Source organism: Homo sapiens, chromosome 15 (assembly GCF_000001405.40).
Source record: "Homo sapiens chromosome 15, GRCh38.p14 Primary Assembly".
In the NCBI taxonomy this organism is placed as follows: domain Eukaryota; kingdom Metazoa; phylum Chordata; class Mammalia; order Primates; family Hominidae; genus Homo; species Homo sapiens.
The window spans coordinates 36,643,996-36,661,272 of record NC_000015.10 but is presented as its reverse complement, the minus strand read 5'-3'; the positions used below and the strand labels follow the sequence as shown (position 1 = coordinate 36,661,272).

The following is a 17,277-nucleotide window of genomic DNA, read 5'->3' as shown; positions in this document are numbered from 1 at the left end:
TTTTACCCAGGTCTGTGATGTGACAGGAAAACCTGCAATGCTAGTCTAAAAGCATTTCCCCAACAATTATTCTAACTGCTACTTTATTCAGTGTAATGCAATAAAAAGAGTTGTTGACAAGGAGCTGGAAGCCTTGAGTGTGAGCACCAGCACTGCCATCCACTTCACACCCTTTGCTACCACTCCATTTACAACTCACCTGTACACTGGCCTCACATGCTCCACCCACCTCCCTGGGTGATTCCGAGGCCACAGAAAACCAGAGATGCTATTCTCTCCCAGAACAGCCTCACTTCAGATTTCATGAGGAAGAGAAAATGGCACAACATGGATAAACTTCCTCATGTCTAATTTGGGAGGAAGAAAAATAATTCAATTGAACAGATAAAACTTGGAATCTGGGTTCTAGGACCAGCTTTATGTAGTAATAATCATAGGATGATGGCCAAGGCACTTATACTCAGTCCCTGCAGAGCTCAACTCAAAATACGTATCCTATCAGTACACTAGTTTTGTTGTGAGGCTAAGCAACAGTACAACACAAAAGTAGTCTAAAAGGCTATAGAACATTATTTAATCAGGGGCAATAACAAAATGTGTACAACAAAATTGTTTGTCATCACAAGAGCCACTCAGGTTTCTTTTTAACTACTGAGACACTAGACAGAATGTATATATCATACCCTAAAAATTATCGCGTGAGAAACCCAACAGTACTCCTTAAAGTGGATATTCCTAAAGTATATGTTATCAAAATTACATGGCTTATATGTCCCATGCTATTAGCTATACCTTTTTACAGAAGTAAAAACAATTTAAAACTGAGCATTGATCTAATGAAAGTAATAGTAAATACACAGTACAATCCACCCCCAAAAGAATAGGATTTTTTTGCCTGATTTCTAGTTTTAAGAGGAAAAAATTAAAAATACAAGCCAAGACTGAGACTTGCAGCTCATTAAAGCTGAGGTGATTTCCCCTATATAGAATTCTATTGATCTCCATAGTCCACACTAGACAAAAAGTGTGGTCAGGGAAGGGGGTGATGGATGCCTCTGCCAATAGCACTGAACAAACCTGTTAGCTAATTGCTACCAAAGACAATTATCCCCGCATTGTTTCATAATGGAAACACATTACAAAACTCTAATATACACACAGGGAAATTTGATGATTTGACTGCGGAGCCATGTGCATTGAATTTCATTGCCAAAGGCCAGCCAGGCCCATGCTCTGAAGGGGAAGAAAGTGTCAGAATATAAGCCACAGTAACTTAAAGTTCTTTAAGAAAAAAAAAAAAAAAAAAGAAAAGGAAGGAAAAAGAGAGAATGAAAAAGACGAAGAAAAGAAAGGAAGATAACCTAGCACCATCAGCAAATTAATTGACTTCTATAACCTGGCATTAATTTTAACATTTTCTGTCACTTTTTGAAATGATAAACCCTCAATTATGGTTTGTCATATAATCATAAAAGATTTTTGAAACCATTTTCTGTCCAGAGAAATATTTTAATACAGCATTTTTGACTGGCAGTCAGCCTACTGGCAAATAGGGAGTTAAAATGGTGCCTTCACAATAGCCTAGTATGATGATTAAAAATAACATCAAATATCTGTCATGATTTTACTCAGGAAAAAAAAAAAAAAACAAAACCTGACTCTGTAACAACTCACAGTGAAACAACCATTAACCCAACCAATTATAAAAGAAAAAGCTTCAAAATACTGTTATTTGATTATACATAATCATAGTGTAATTCAAGCATACAATATTTACATTCGCCTCCTTTCCAAGCAGCCACATTCTTGAAATACCCTTTCCTTGGTATGTTTCTAAATATGCTCATGTCCTTCTCCAGTGTATTCATGCAAGACATTTAATCCTAGCATTGGAATTATAGGATTCTGATATACAGTACACATCAAAATTATATTCAGTACTATTTAACTCTGCTGTATAAAATGGTACAAAATAAAAAGAAAAATGTACTGAAGATGTGCCAGTGTTATAAAGATAAATTAATGGCTACAAAATTTATGATCAACCTATTAACTTCATAATTCACAAGTCAATGAATTCTGTTTTACTGTGTTTGATACTGCTCTATATAGGCCAGTCTACCTGCTTCAGACTATGCTGACTACTATTTTGACAAGACCTGGATAGCAGTAGGTCCAAAGCAATCAGAAGGTTGACTTTGACAAATGGCGGTGCTGCTGCGAAGTTGAAAATAACACACATCCACTTTAATCTCTTTCTTGATTAAATCGAAACCATACCATTCTGACATCATGTGATTTGCTCATGAAGCATCACTGCAGGTTACTTTGGAGGCTACATCTATTGAAATGATATTGAATTTTTAGGGGAAGTACTTAATTCATTCAAATGAAACCTTCACAAGGTAACTGGGCCACCAGTCACTGGTAACTGCAGATTCAAAGAAAATCAAAGGGAAAAAATCCCTGACAAAATATAAAAAAATAAAAATCCAACATGTACTACTGAATGATGTTTTAGCAGGTATTATCTTCTACTTTCAAAGAGGGAAGATTATGTGCATAAAGCATATTCCAAAGCTTTTTACCTATTCTACCACAGCTGAGCTCCAAAGGTAAACATTATACTAGGTAATAAAAATGCAGAAGATGAAATTGTCTTTTTTACATGAGACTAGGCAAATATTTATGGGGCAGTTGACAAACTCCTGCCTAGTAAAAGAGCCAGCACTGAGAGCAATTATCCTGATATTCATGACTCACTTTGAATATCACATTGAATATTACTCATAAATCTTTTACGAGCACATCCCCAGAGCTCACTTAACAGCCGGTTTTAATCATGCAGTTGACACAGAGAAAATAACAAAATGTATTTTTTCAGTGGCAAATTAATTTAGGCTTGAACCTCCTTCTGTAGCTCTATTCTTTTCTTTTTTTCTTTTTTATTTTCTTGTAGGAAGACCAGTGGAATTCACCTTTGCATTTGGAAGTAGTATTTCTCCGGTCTTGCTGAATTAAAATAAAAAGGATGAATGTTTCTTTTAGAGCCAGTTCCTGACAATGGTTTTTCAAATGATGTATCTTATTCTATATACGAAGATGAATCAATTTTTTAGTTTGATACACATTGTCTATTTAGCTCAATGGAGAGGTTGAGTGTGGAATTTAGACAAAGAAGAGAGCATTATTCTGAAGAGTATTTAAGTTGTGGGTGGTCTTTTATATTGCATTTAATTGTCATTAACTGTTCATGATAGCTGTTTTGGAATCTGGCTCTCATTAAGTGACTTGAAATGCTGTGTAAATTATTTTTAAATTGGGGAAGGGAGTAAAAGAGTACCATTAGGAAAAAAGGGTAACTCACGTGGAGTTTCCTCGTGTTCCTGTAGAAACCTCTCCAGTATAAGCCGAGCCATTAATGAGGGCGCATAGTCCACCTTTATAAAACAGAAGTAGAAAATTAAAACTATCAAGTTGTGCGAGCAGTGGATACTCCAGTATTTTGTCAACACTGAAGAATAAGTCAATTTTAATCAACCATAGCAAGCATCATTCATTAAAATCTTTCCCACCCTTGGTGGCTTCCATTATAATAAAATTATAACAAGTATGGTTTGGGCTGTTGAAAAGAATAAATGGGTCAAATTTATTGAATATAACATTGGAGCAAAAAGGATGGAACAACTTAGAAAAAGCATTCGTCTAAAACAGTGAAATAGGCTTTTTTCATCTCTCCTCAATTTTTTCTGTTGGTAGGCCAATATAATTTTTTATTCAAGCCATGCTTCTTTCTATGCAACTGTCTATATTTATACTGTTCTGAATGCAATTTCAAATAATAAGCCCTTTTTGTTATTTAGTGACAGTTTTCAAAAACAGAGTCAAATGTCCTTATATGACAAATCCAAATAAGGATTTTACTGATTTTATCTTTAAAGACAACTGAAATTTTGGTATAAATTCCTTACATTTAAAATATTTTATTTGATAAAAGACAACTACATTGCAGAGATGTTAATAATAAATTACAACAATATAATATCTGCAACATAAGATCACCGTCCTTATCTGAAACACTACTTACCAATTTAATTAATACAGATCCCAGGGTGGTAACTTTTTAAAATAAAGAACCAGTCAGAAAACAAAGGATATTCAGTCCGACAGTCATTTTAATTAATAAAAAATGTATCTACTATTTTGTAAAGATATTGTCTTCTTTGGGGTTCTTAAATCTTTTATTAACCATTTACTTAATTTCACCAAAAAATAGGAACACACATTTTTAAGAACAATAATGCTTCCCTAAAACGAGTCTTTTTATCTTAGGTGGAAGACAGCAAACATTCCTCATATATTATCACCATGAATTTTTCCTGACAGGTTTTCAAGTCCCGTATTCATACCAAAATTTTATCTTGATTTAGTAACTAGACAAAAAGGCTGGCTTCATTTGTATGAACAGTTTTTTCAAATACGTATGTACTTGGATGCCCTTAAATTCCCCAAGTAGAAAGAAATGCTTTCCACGAAGCTGCTTATTCCTAGTAACCCACATCAGAGCTGACACATGAAAAATGGTGAAATTACTGAAGGTAGTCCAGCCTGAATAAGGACTACCTTATTAGTTCAGGTACTTGCATCTCCCTAATTTTCATATTAATCATGTGTCCATCTTTCTCTGAAATAGGGCCATCATGCTTCATGTCAGAATTTAGCATGTAAATAAAATGCATAGTGCTTCAAATCTCACTTGAAAATATTTGTGTGGAGAGAACAGAATGACTGATCTTATTATCACTAACGAAGTGTGAATTGCTAAAATGTTCAATTTTAGACTTGAAACTGGAAAAGTAGTATGAAGACATTTATAAAATCAATGATGACCACATACAGCCCTTAGCCCCCCAAAAAGATAATAAAAATACAATGCTCTTGTCTAAGAGAGTTGCTGCACCCTGTAATGTACCAATGCTATATATTTCTCATCAATTTTTATAGTTTCCCCTGATTAAATAAATATCAGCTCATAAAGTATTACCATCACATCAATTGTCACCAGATGCAAGTGTATGTTATCTAAGTATTACCTATCTGGAAAAAATGGCACCTTGGTTGTTTAGAAGCTATAATATGGTACCAGCCATTCCTAAATTTCCCTAATGCATTATCAATTTCATAGAAAAGTGCTATTCTTTCTGTACTAGTCTGTAGCCAAAACGGAGGAAAAGTCTTTAAACAACTACGTTTTCTCTTGGCTAAATACTGCTATATATTCATGGTAAATAAAAGGTTTATTGATGTAGGAGAAAATGTGTTGGTAGGTTAAATTTTTCCATATTACTAGAAGACTGAAACTGAGGTCAGCTAAATATTTAATGGATATAGAACTATCCATTAAAAATTCAAATGAATATAAATTGCTATGATATAAAACTTATATAATCAACATCATCATCTATATAGATGGGTACCATATTTGCATCACATTCTTTCTAGATGCTGTGTCTGGAATGCTGCTAGCTTATTCTTCTTTTTCATAAAAGACAATCACTAAATTCCTAGTTAAAGCTCAGATACCTCAAGTTACTAATAGCATAAACTTGTAACAAACAAGTCTAGATACATTTAAAAACCAGCCTGCTGGCCGGGCGTGGTGGCTCACGCCTGTAATCCAAGCACTTTGGGAGGCCAAAGCAGGTGGACCACAAGGTCAGGAGATCAAGACCATCCTGGCCAACATGATGAAACCCCGTCTCTGCTAAAAATACAAAAATTAGCTGGGCATGGTGGCACAGGCCTGTGGTCCCAGCAACTCAGGAGGCTGAAGCAGGAGAATCTCTTGAACCCGGGAGGCAGAGGTTGCAATGAGCTAAGATCACGCCACTGCACTCCAGCCTGGCAACAGAGTGAGACTCTGTCTCAAAAAAAGAAAAAAAAAAAGCAAAAAAAAAAAAGCACTCTGCTCTAGAAATGGAAAAAACAAAAAAAGAATAAAATACTTGTTTTCCTAGGAGGCGCACAGAAATTCATTCTATATGTTAACTATCCTATCTGATTGTGTAGACATTGCTTAGACTATTAAAACCATCTAGTAACTGATAGGTAATTGCTCATTTGTTGACTGCAGCAGTGTATAGCAGCAGACAGAAGCTGTGAGGGAAGCCATCCTTCCTTGCTAATATAACATGTAGAACTTGCTGCTACTGCAACACTTAATGCTCACAGTACCGAGTCATCTTTAATGCAAACACACATTTTCTGCCTTGCTTCTATGTTTTCCATTATAATGCAACGCAAAAACAGTGTACATTTCATTCCATCCCTACGAGGTTTGCATAAGCAGTTCCAAGTCAGACTAAATATTGTATTGCTCTTATTACAGTGGATAAATATTTTAAAGTTTAGGAATTAAATATTTTATTTTTTTGGTATGCTCTCTGCAACTATTATGAACTTTTCACAGCTTCTTCATTCATGGGAAATCTGTAGGGTTTCCCTTTTTAAATGTAAGGCTGTTATTTGTTTCCCCAAACAGAAGCAGATCAGAGTTAACGAATAAGTTCAATAAATCACTTCTTACTTGGTGTTATTAAGAACACTATGCTTCTTCATATAAAGAAGGAGACTTTTCTACAAGGCATGTATCCTTTATTATAATAAAAGTTTGCTAACAAAAAAATGAATCAAGTACATCTTTAAGTATACAATTTCTCTCTTCATTTTTATAACAGCAGTTTTTTTTTTTTTTTTTTTGGCATCCATCTCTTTACTTGACACAGGTATTTCTCACACTAAATTAAGACAACCTATCCTAAGAAAAGCATGTCCTGAGCTGTTTGGTTGAAATTTTCCACAAAATAAGAAACCAAGAGGCTGTTTATACATTTGCCTTAAAAGAAGTAGACTAATTATGTCAACTGATTTATTAATATGTGAAGTTCTTTGTCCAATTACTAAAAGTACAAAGAGATCAGGGAGCAATTTAAATGTCTAATGCACCTCAAATCCTTTTTTTTTCCAAAGGTAGTTATAATTGTAAGCAAAGTTACTCTAGATAGGCCCCTTAGGTTACACGCAGGTTTAAATAAAATCATAACAATAACATTACCTCATTGGCCAGGTCCAGGAGCACTGGGGCAGCTCCATTTTTCACCACTCCATTCAGGTACCTAGACAAGACAAAGCCAAGTGGTAATGCAGTGACAAGAAAAGGCCAGCATAGACTTGTCAGCATCCCCTGTGTGTATACATGTTTCTCCTGGACAAATGCCACGCTCAACTCTAGTTAAAGTAAGCTACTTTCATAGGAAAGCACTGAAGGGAAAAACATAACACAAACAACTCACCTCAAAACCACTGGCAACTAAGAAGCTGAAGGTGGGGGCAGAAGGTGTAAATACTTAGGTCTCCCTTGTTTTCTTTCACCTCCTACCATATAAAGTGAACAAGAGGAACTATCCATATCACTCTGCCTTGTCTCTACCACAGACAACCATTGCATGGAAAGGAAAGAAGTTGACTTATATAGTTTGAGAAAAGCATTCATGCACCCATCTTGCCTTTTCCTTTACCTGTTTCACAGGGCTGCTTGACACCTTATTAAGAAAACGATGGAACAGACATGTCATCAGTGGGTCAGCACACCTGTGACAGGCAATACAAGCCATCACCTTATCTGCCCTAGATTTGTGGAAGAACCTCCAGCTCTCATTATCCTCTCACTCCACTGGAAAAAAACACACAACTCCCCAAAATCCCCAAACAAAACAAAACCCCAGACATGGAAGCTGGGGGGATTTTTTTTTTTTTTACAAAAATTTGAATGTGTCATTCCCCTTGTTATAACACTTCAAGGCCCCACATTAAATCTCAAGATTAAATTATAACCATTTAACAGCTCTTGTAAGGTTCTTCATAATCTGGTTTCTACCTACTCTACTCTGCCAGCCTCATCTCTAGTCACTGTCTCCCGCTCCCATCCCTCACCTGGATAACTCATGATTCAATTCAGATGTCACCTTCTTCGATCCACTACCATATAAGTTAAGTGCTCCTCATATGCAATCGAGGAATACCCTGTACATCTTTCTATCATGTAACGTAGCATATTGTATTTGCCTATTACTTGGCTACCTCAAACCCATCCCCCACTGTAATGTTGAAAGCTTCATGAAGGTTGGAGAATTGTATTTTATTTAATTTATTATGCCTACCAAGTACTTTGTTTATAGTAGGTGATTATATAATAAAAAATCACCTTATACTTTTCCTTTAACAAATGAAAAATTAAATAATTTTTAAAAACCATATTGGACAAGAAAGCAGAATTAGGTATGGAAATTTTCCCTACAGTATATTATTTAAGTGAATAAGCTCTGGGTATTTGTCTGACAGTAATAAAGTCAACAGGTGAGGTCTTCCATATAACTGCCAGAAGTAGGTACTAAATTATATTATTTCATGAGTATATTTATAAAGTTGTATAATTTTCCTGTAAGCAAAGTGGGGTAACAGCAAATTATTTAAGGTGGGGAGAACCTCTGGATCATTGTAACTTCAAAATAATTCTAACAAAGCAATTTTCCACATATTGGGGCCACCCTTGAATGTATTATTTGGGAAACCAATTGGAAAATAAGGACGTTCAGAAGCAAGAGGAAAAAATAAATAAATAAAACAAGGCAAATGTGCTTTAGAGAAAGGTCCCTGGGAAACAGGTCCGTTAAGAACCTCACATCAATTTCTCACAAACAAGGCCACTGCACTGATACCACCCAAGGAACCAGCAATCAGTTCAGTCAAGTCAGACCAGCTGATTGTGTGCCTGTAACCACCAAGAGTGCGTATTTACTATGGTTTCTGATTCTGGGTCAGCGTATTTAAGCCTATACCAATATTGGGATATCTTTACAGCTTTCTACTTCAGTTTCAGTTACCCGACAAGTATTTTGGAGCGCTATGTGTCAGGCCTTATTCCAGGTTCTGAAGAAGCAACAGCAGGAAAAAAAACCATTCATGGTCCCATCATCACAGAGATTATATTACAGTGGTGACACAAACAATAAAAAGGCAGGGAGATAAATATACAGTATAATGGTATATGCTAGAATAAAATGTAAACTTAGATGGGTTGTTCAGGAAGCCCCTCTCTGAGGGAGTGACACTCGAGTAGAGATCAGCATGAAAAGAAGGAGCATGCCATGGTGAGAGCTGACTGCAAACAGTGAAAGAGTAGCAGCTAGATGCCAGACTACCTTTTATACCAGAGATCTGTTGCTTTAAGTCAAAATGACATGGCTTCATGTAAAAGTTGCATCAATCATTATCCTGCTAATGACCAGTGAAGAACTTCTATCAAGTTTAAAGAAACAGAAGATGATTAAACCATAACTACAATCCTCTGTATCTATATAGTCTGGATAATATTAAAAGCATGACCATACTTAATACTGTGGAAATTCCTAATTATGAGGTTGTTAAAGCTTCCCAGTTGGTCATATAAAGAAACCAAACCCCAGGGCACTGATAAAACCCATCTGGGCTCTCTTAGCTGGTAAACAATAAAGCTATAGAACCCTGAAATAGAACCCTGATCCCTCGAGGCCTAGTGAGGTGCCACATACATTGAACATGGTGGATCTGCTCTAAATTTATTTGTTTTCCAATCTGTTTCCCAACTATACCTGTAGCACCTCATAAGTGGTAGGAAAAAAAATTAAGTTTAATTTAAGGTTATATTTGTCTTTTCTGGAAACTTTAATTATCCCCCACATCAAAGTGACAGATCAGGCTCTATTTAAATTTTCAGATATGTAATCAAAGGGACATACTAATTACTGAAAATATTCCATAAAGACATAATTAGAAAATCCTAATGGTACCTTTCTCTGCATCCTCATCATGATCTTGTGCAAACTTATAGCATTGCACTTTTCACACTGGTATAATGGTTTGCTTCTGTCTCCAGTTACCCTGAATGCTCTTTGGGGTAGGGCTACACAAATGAATGTTGAACCTTCATCCAACCCTGGCAAACATCCAAATTGCAACTGGGATATACAGATGTCATTCTCAATACTACATTAAGGTGACGTGGGCTCCATTCCTAATGCCCAGGAGAATTCATGTGTCTCTGCATTCTTGCTAGCATTGAGTTGATACCAACTAAGAATTCAAAGACTGTATTTTTTTTTATTTTTTTTTTGAGATGAAGTCTTGCTCTGTCACCCAGGCTGGAGTGCAGTGGTGCAATCTCGGCTCACTGCAACCTTCGCCTCCTGGGTTCAAGCAATTCTCCTGCCTCAGTCTCCCAAGTAGCTGAGACTACAGGAGCGTGCCACCACACCTGGCTAGTTTTTGTGCTTTTAGTAGAGATAGGGTTTTGCCATGTTGGCTAAGCTGGTCTCGAAATCCTGATCTCAGGTGATCCGCTTGCCTCTGCCTCCCATCAAAATCTGTATTTTACATGATTTCATCATGGTTAACAGAAATCTTATGATATCCAGATAGTAGAAAATGTTTTCTGGCTGGGCACGGTGGCTCAGACCTGTAATCCCAGCACTTTGGGAGGCCAAGGCGGGTGGATCATTTGAGGCCAGGAGTTTGAGACCTCCCTGCACAGCATGGTGAAACCTTGTCTCTACTAAAAGCACAAAAATTAGCCCAGCATGGTGGCGCGTGCCTGTAGTCCCAACTACTCAGGAGGCTGAGGCACAAAAATCTCTTGAACCTGGGAGGTGGAGTTTGCAGTGAGCCAAGATTGCACCACTGCACTGCAGCCTGAGTGACAGAGAAAGGTTCTGTCTCAAATAATAAATAAATAAATAAATAAATAAATAAATAAATAAATAAATAAATAAATAAAAATTTTCTCAAGCTTTTGAATTATTGAAGAAATTTCCTCAATTCTCCATGTTGTATATAAATAGACACAGCTCGAGAGTTTACTTTGAAAATATCTCTATTCTTTCACACTGTACTAACGCCATTTTATTTCTAAACAGGAAAGATTCTTGGTGAAATTTGTTTAGGTCCGCCTAAATTGGTGCACATGAGCATAAGTGCACATGCACACAGTTGGTCAGATCTGCAAGTCCCCATCAATAGCAAAGTTTAGAAATATTGTCTCCATTTCCTCCCTTCTCCCAGCACACTGGCGGAGGAGCCAGCTTTAGCAGCGTTAGAAGATCAGATCTACAGAACTTTATTCAGATGTTCACATGTAAAAAAGGTTGGCTTAAATATGATACTGGTAACATATGTGATAAAAATAGTTTCTGAAAATTTGGACCACTTTTTTGTTCAATTAGCACCATCTGCTTTACACTCATTATGCCCCATTTACAATGCTAAAAACCAACAATACATATATAAGACACAGTACCTGCCTTCCACTGTCCTTTTTGGTGGGAAAAGAGCTGTGTATGTAAGTATGTAAAATGCAGCAAGAGAAGTGCTAACAGAGGTATGTCTATACAGAGTGCTGTGGGAGTTCCAAGAATTATCGATTCGGGGTGTCCGGGGCAACTTGTTTATGCAGTAGTCTAGAAATAAACTTATCATCTTTACTAGTTTGTAGGGAAGCAGAAGGTGTTCCAAGCTGAGAGAAGACACTCAGTGACAGGGTTGTGGATCATCTTAGGCCACAGCATGGAGAACTTTGCCTTATATTTGAAATGAGTATACATTAGTTTCATCTTAGATATAAATGAGTCTTTCACACTCAAAAAACATCATAAAATGGGCCTTCTCTGAGGACCTTTTAAGGCTGATTTCACCCATAGGATGTGTATTTGTTAGCCCTCCTGTAGCAAAGCTAGATGATGACATATAGCTTCTGTATAAAGTTGTTTTAACTGGCAAATAGGCATCAGGAATGGAGCCCAGGTCACCTTAATATAGTATTAAGGATGACATCCTTATATCCCAATTGCAATTCAGATCTTTGCCAGAGTTGGCTGAGGGTCCATCATTCATTTGTTTTTGTGTAGCCCTACCCCAAAGAGTTTTCAGGCTAGCTGGAGACAGAAGCAAACCATTATACCAGTGTGAAAACTGCAATGCTGTAAGTTTGCACAGGATACTAAGAGGATGCAGAGAAAGGTACCATTAGGATTTTCTGATTATGTCTTTATGGAATATTTTCAGTAATTAGTATGTCCCTTTGATTACATATCTGAAAATTTAAATAAAGCCTGATCTGTCACTTTGATGTGGGGGATAATTAAAGTTTCCAGAAAAGATAAATACAACCTCAAATTAAACTTTTTTTTTCCTAGCACTTATGAAGTGTTACAGGATATAGCTGGGAAACAGATTGGAAAACAAATACATTTACAGCAGATCCACCCTGTTCAACATATGCAACCAGCAAAACATTTCTAGACAGTAGTTTGGCAATATGTAATACTTTTTTAAAATGTTCACATTGTTTGCACCAATAATTACATATATAGAAATATTAAGAAACTAATTCAAAAGCAGACTCATGCATCAAGATGTTTATCACAGTTTTATTTACAATAATAGAACATTGGAGGCCAGGTGCAGTGGTTCACACCTATAATCCCAGCACTTTGGGAGGCCGAGGCAGGCGGATCACAAGGTCAGGAGATCGAGACCATCCTGGCAAGCACGGTGAAACCTGTCTCTATTAAAAATACAAAAAATTAGCCGAGTGTGGTGGCAGGCGCCTATAGTCCCAGCTGCTCGGGAGGCTGAGGCAGGAGAGTGGTGTGAACCCAGGAGGCGGAGCTTGCAGTGAGCTGAGATTGCACCACTGCACTCCAGCCTGGGCGACAGAGGGAGACTCCGTCTCAAAAAAAAAAAAAAAAAAAAAATAGAATATTGGAAACATATATGCTCGACAAAGGAATAATTCAGTAAATTATGATACTTTCATATGATGAAATAAGGCAATCAAAAAATGTTTACAAAACGCTTTTTACAAAATAATATTATATCATATACATTTTTCCAGGTGTAAAACTCAGGATTCACAATTGCTTATATAATATGACCTCATCAATATAAAAATGGGCTGACAAAAGACTAAAATGAAAAATGCCAGTAGAGATCTCTGAGTGGCACAATTATGGGCAATCATTCATTCCTTTTTAATACTATCACAGCCGGGCACGGTGGCTCACGCCTGTAATCCCAGCACTTTGGGAGGCCGAGGCGGCCGGATCACAAGGTCAGGAGATCGAGACCATCCTGGCTAACACGGTGAAACCCCGTCTCTACTAAAAATACAAAAAATTAGCCGGGCGTGGTGGCGGGCACCTGTAGTCCCAGCCACCCAGGAGGCTGAGCCAGGAGAATGGCGTGAGCCCGGGAGGCGGAGTTTGCAGTGAGCCGAGATTGCGTCACTGTGCTCCAGCCTGGGCGACAGAGTGAGACTCCGTCTCAAAAAAAAAAAAAAAAAATACTATCACAAATATGCTTAATTTTCACAATAGCTGAGTATTACTTTATAAAAGAAAAAAATTAAATTAAATTGCCATTAACATTTTCAAATTGCTTAAATATATTTTGATATAACAAATACAATTTGGCTTTATTCTAATCTGCTGGAAAACAAACAAAAACCTTTTAAAGCCAATTTACCTTAGCACAGACAGGAACATTTGACCTGCACATTTCCAACAAAAGGCTACTGAGGTCAATCCATCTGAAAGGTAACAACATGGCCTGTCCCTAAGTGCAAAGTGCAGGGCAGAAAGTCAGACAGCAGGTTGGTAAAGTCAGAAAGTGGTCAGACTGCTTTCTTCTGAGACTGCCCATTACGGTCTAACTTCATGTTTTTGTTTCAAATGCTGTAACTCCTCGAAATAATTGAGACTGTCATATTTAAATAAATTGAAAGAAATCTATTTATGTATTCTCATTATTACCCACTCAACTGTTCATCATTGGGTATACTTAAAGGTATTTATTTCTGGGCCAGGCACAGTGGCTCAGGCGTGTAATCCCAGCACTTTGGGAGGCTGAGGTGGGAGATTACTTGAGGCCAGAAGTTCAAGAACAGCCTGGGCAAAGTAGCAAGACCCTGTCTCTATAAACTTTTTTTTTTAATTAGCTGGCCATGGTGGTGTGCACCTGTAGTCCCAGCTACTCAGGAGACTGAGGCAGTAGGATTGCCTGAGGCCAGGAGGTTGAGGCTGCAGTGAGTTATGATCGTGCCACTGCACCTCAGACTGGGTGACAGAGAGAGACACTGTCTCAAAAAAAAAAAAAAAAAAGATATTTATTTATTTATGGCCTATACTACCCAGATAATCCAACAAAAGTATGTTCATACTTCAACAATTAGATATACTTTTTAATGAAACTTAGATTTGAAATAGCAGCACCTAGTGATCCTAAAAATCATGTATTAATAACTAAAACAACCTCCTTACAATGAGGCAAATGAGTATCAGAAGGCAGCCCCATTACCTGTCAGTGGATCTCCGAATTTCCAGGAAAAGAGCACATTTTCCTTTAAAATGCTCTATTTTCCTTTGTATACATTACAAGCCTTTAAAATCCAGACATAAAATCATACTTTTATATAACAGCCTAGGACTATAATGTTTACAAACAAGAATGTATTTTTTGGCATGTAAATAACCTTCAGTGCTTCTTTGAAGAGTCTGGATGCCAACACGGTTGCAGGCTTCACAGCACTTCATGGGCCATTTTTAATTTCATATGTATAATTTAGGCTATGACTTTAATTTGAATGTCAATTTCACCAAGAAGGTTATGACTTTTGAATAAATCATCAAACTTTACAAAGTCTTGTTTAGAGAGGATCTCTCCTAGACACAAAACTGTGTGTGTGTATGTGTCTGTGTCTGTGTGTGTGTAATGAGTGCATGTTATCTTTCTTTGACAGGTATTACTACTCAAAACAAAGCATATCTTTTACCACATATAGCAGTGAATAATTTTTTTTAAAAAATCTAACTTCTGTGACTTTCCTGTTCAATATCCCTTTCTTGATTCTAAATAAAATGATTACCGAAACATGACACCAATATTTTATCCACATATTTATTTCATTCATAAAATTTTTATGCATAAAAATCATTCATCTAAAATCAGTGGTGTCATTCTCACCACAGAAAGGTTCATCTGTCAATCTTAAGTATAATAATTTAAGAGCAGATTTCAAACAGTTTTCATTGCCAATGTGCCCCTGAAAGATTTAAGAAACCAACTAACAATTTCTAATGCAAACCATTACCATTTAGTGTTATAAATTATTCAGTCATATTACAATGACAATACAAATTTTAAAATAAAAAAACAGAGCTATTTTAAATATTGTTTCAGAACAAGAAGTTGAAATTTATTTATAATAAATTAGGCTGAAATTAAAATATCTCCTGGATACTATGCTGTTGATTTAATACCCAAGGTTGTCTTTTAAAAATACAAAATCCCCTTTAAAATGTGACCGTTATACACTACAATATATCTCCAAATGCCTTTACTTGATACATCTTTTTTCATTTCTAAAATGGATATCCTAATACCTATGATGCAAAATAAAATGACATCCAAATTCAATCTTCTTTTTTCAACTTGCTAATCTAAGAAATGAAAATTAGTTTGAGAACTTTCAAATATATGTAGATATATGTATATATGAGCATATGCATTTAGACAGGATATGCACTTATAATAAGTTTCAAGTAGCCAACTGAGATTTCATAATATTATAACTACATCTCACATAGTATGGGCACACACACACACACACACACACACACACACACACACAAGTCAAGACAGCCTTACCATACTCTTTAGATCTACAAAACAAAGCATTTGAAAACTCATTCAAAAACATACTAAAAGTTTTGAATAAAATACTTAAAACACAATGTCTTGGGATATGACATAGAAAATTAATAACCTAACTTATTCATAATTATTATTACAATTAATAGGTACTATGATACCCTCTAGTGGGGCAGGAAGGTCATACCTCTGGTAATAACTTTCAATTGCTTCCGAAGTATGATGTTTGGCATGTGTTCTTTTAATGTGTTTCTGAAAGAAAAAAAACAACAACACAAAAAAATCTTTGATATGTCACAGATGAGGTTCAAAACAAGAATGACATTATTTCTTGAGCCCAGTGACTAGCACATAGGGAACACTGAATAACAGCTTGGGAATTGTGGTGATGGCAGGACTTCTTTTCCTTCTACTCTATGATCCTATGCATTTTAATCTCTATTGCTTGGCTGGGATGTCTTCAGACTGTACCACAAGGTACGGTATATATGTAAAAGCCAACAGGGTCATAGTAATTGAATCTAAATAAGTTTGCTTAGGGCTACAGAGGGCAAAGAAAAACTTGTTCCCTCTTTCAACCTTTGTATTAATTTTCCCTCGATTCAATTCCATCTAAGTCCTCTGCACTCTAGTTTTACAATCCAATTGCCATTTTTAACCAGGAAGAACATTGCTTAAAAACAACTTATTTGAAAACTACAAAAAGTAATTCCATAGAGACTTGCCACTTGACTGACACCTGTCATCTCATGATAAATGACTCCATTTTCTGCCTCTCTTGCCTTCTGCCACTCCAGCAATGGTCATTTATCATCATCTCTGTCAGCAATGGAAAGCAGCACTGACAGTGCAAGTCAGCAAACATTTAGCACATGGAACCACGCAACACAGGGAAATTATTATTGTCAGAATAATAATGGTTTAGCATAATTTATTACAGGTCCACCAAATAAGCAAAGGCTAGATGTTATTAGACAGATGGATGGGTAGGCTTGGCAGGCCTCCACCGAGACGCAGGCGGTGCTTGATGTGGAAAGGAGAACATCCTCCAACCCAATCAGAGAGCTGGCAGTTCAATTACAAAGAAATAAAGGGACATTCATCATTCAATTAGGCACCTGTCAACCCTCACAAAGGAGAAAACTTCTAACCTGGTACTCCTGGGAGAAGATGCTCAGCAGAGTGGCCTGCGATTGACTGGAACAAATAAAAGAAGGACAAAGTTAATTACTGGAGTGCACGGCAAAGAAACAAAAGAGAAAGGAGCTTCAAAGGTAGGCCTGCTGCCCTGTAATCTAACAGAACATGAAAACAAGTGTGGAAAAGTTGTTCCAGATGAACACCTCAAACAAAGGCTTCCTGCCGCTGGGTCAAGGAGAGAGAAAAAAGGAAAGGGGAAAATATGGATAGGGCTCAAAGCAACTATCACATTATTTTGATTTTTTTAAACTTTAGAATCATTGTAAATCATATTTGTAG

The 17,277-nt window shown here is 36.6% G+C and overlaps 1 protein-coding gene across 20 annotated transcripts in view; it reads right to left on the bottom strand.

Moving 5' to 3' along the window:
• CDIN1 (CDAN1 interacting nuclease 1) overlaps positions 1-17,277 on the bottom strand; it is a 230,619-nt gene that overhangs the window by 148,972 nt on the left and 64,370 nt on the right. For 16 of the 20 annotated variants that reach the window (XR_007064491.1, XR_007064492.1, XM_047433174.1 and 13 more), the window contains 4 exons: positions 16,950-16,995; positions 15,986-16,050; positions 7,115-7,175; positions 3,368-3,440 (listed from right to left, as the gene is read on the bottom strand). Coding sequence is in view for 16 of the 20 variants with exons in the window: in NM_001321761.2 (NP_001308690.1) it covers positions 3,368-3,440; positions 7,115-7,175; positions 15,986-16,050; positions 16,950-16,995 (245 nt within the window). In the remaining 4 variants the exon portion in view is untranslated. Of the gene's footprint in view, positions 1-2,978; positions 3,013-3,367; positions 3,441-7,114; positions 7,176-15,985; positions 16,051-16,949; positions 16,996-17,277 lie in introns of those variants that run through there. The other 4 variants (NM_001321757.2, NM_001321756.2, NM_001321758.2 and 1 more) reach the window with 4 other exon arrangements.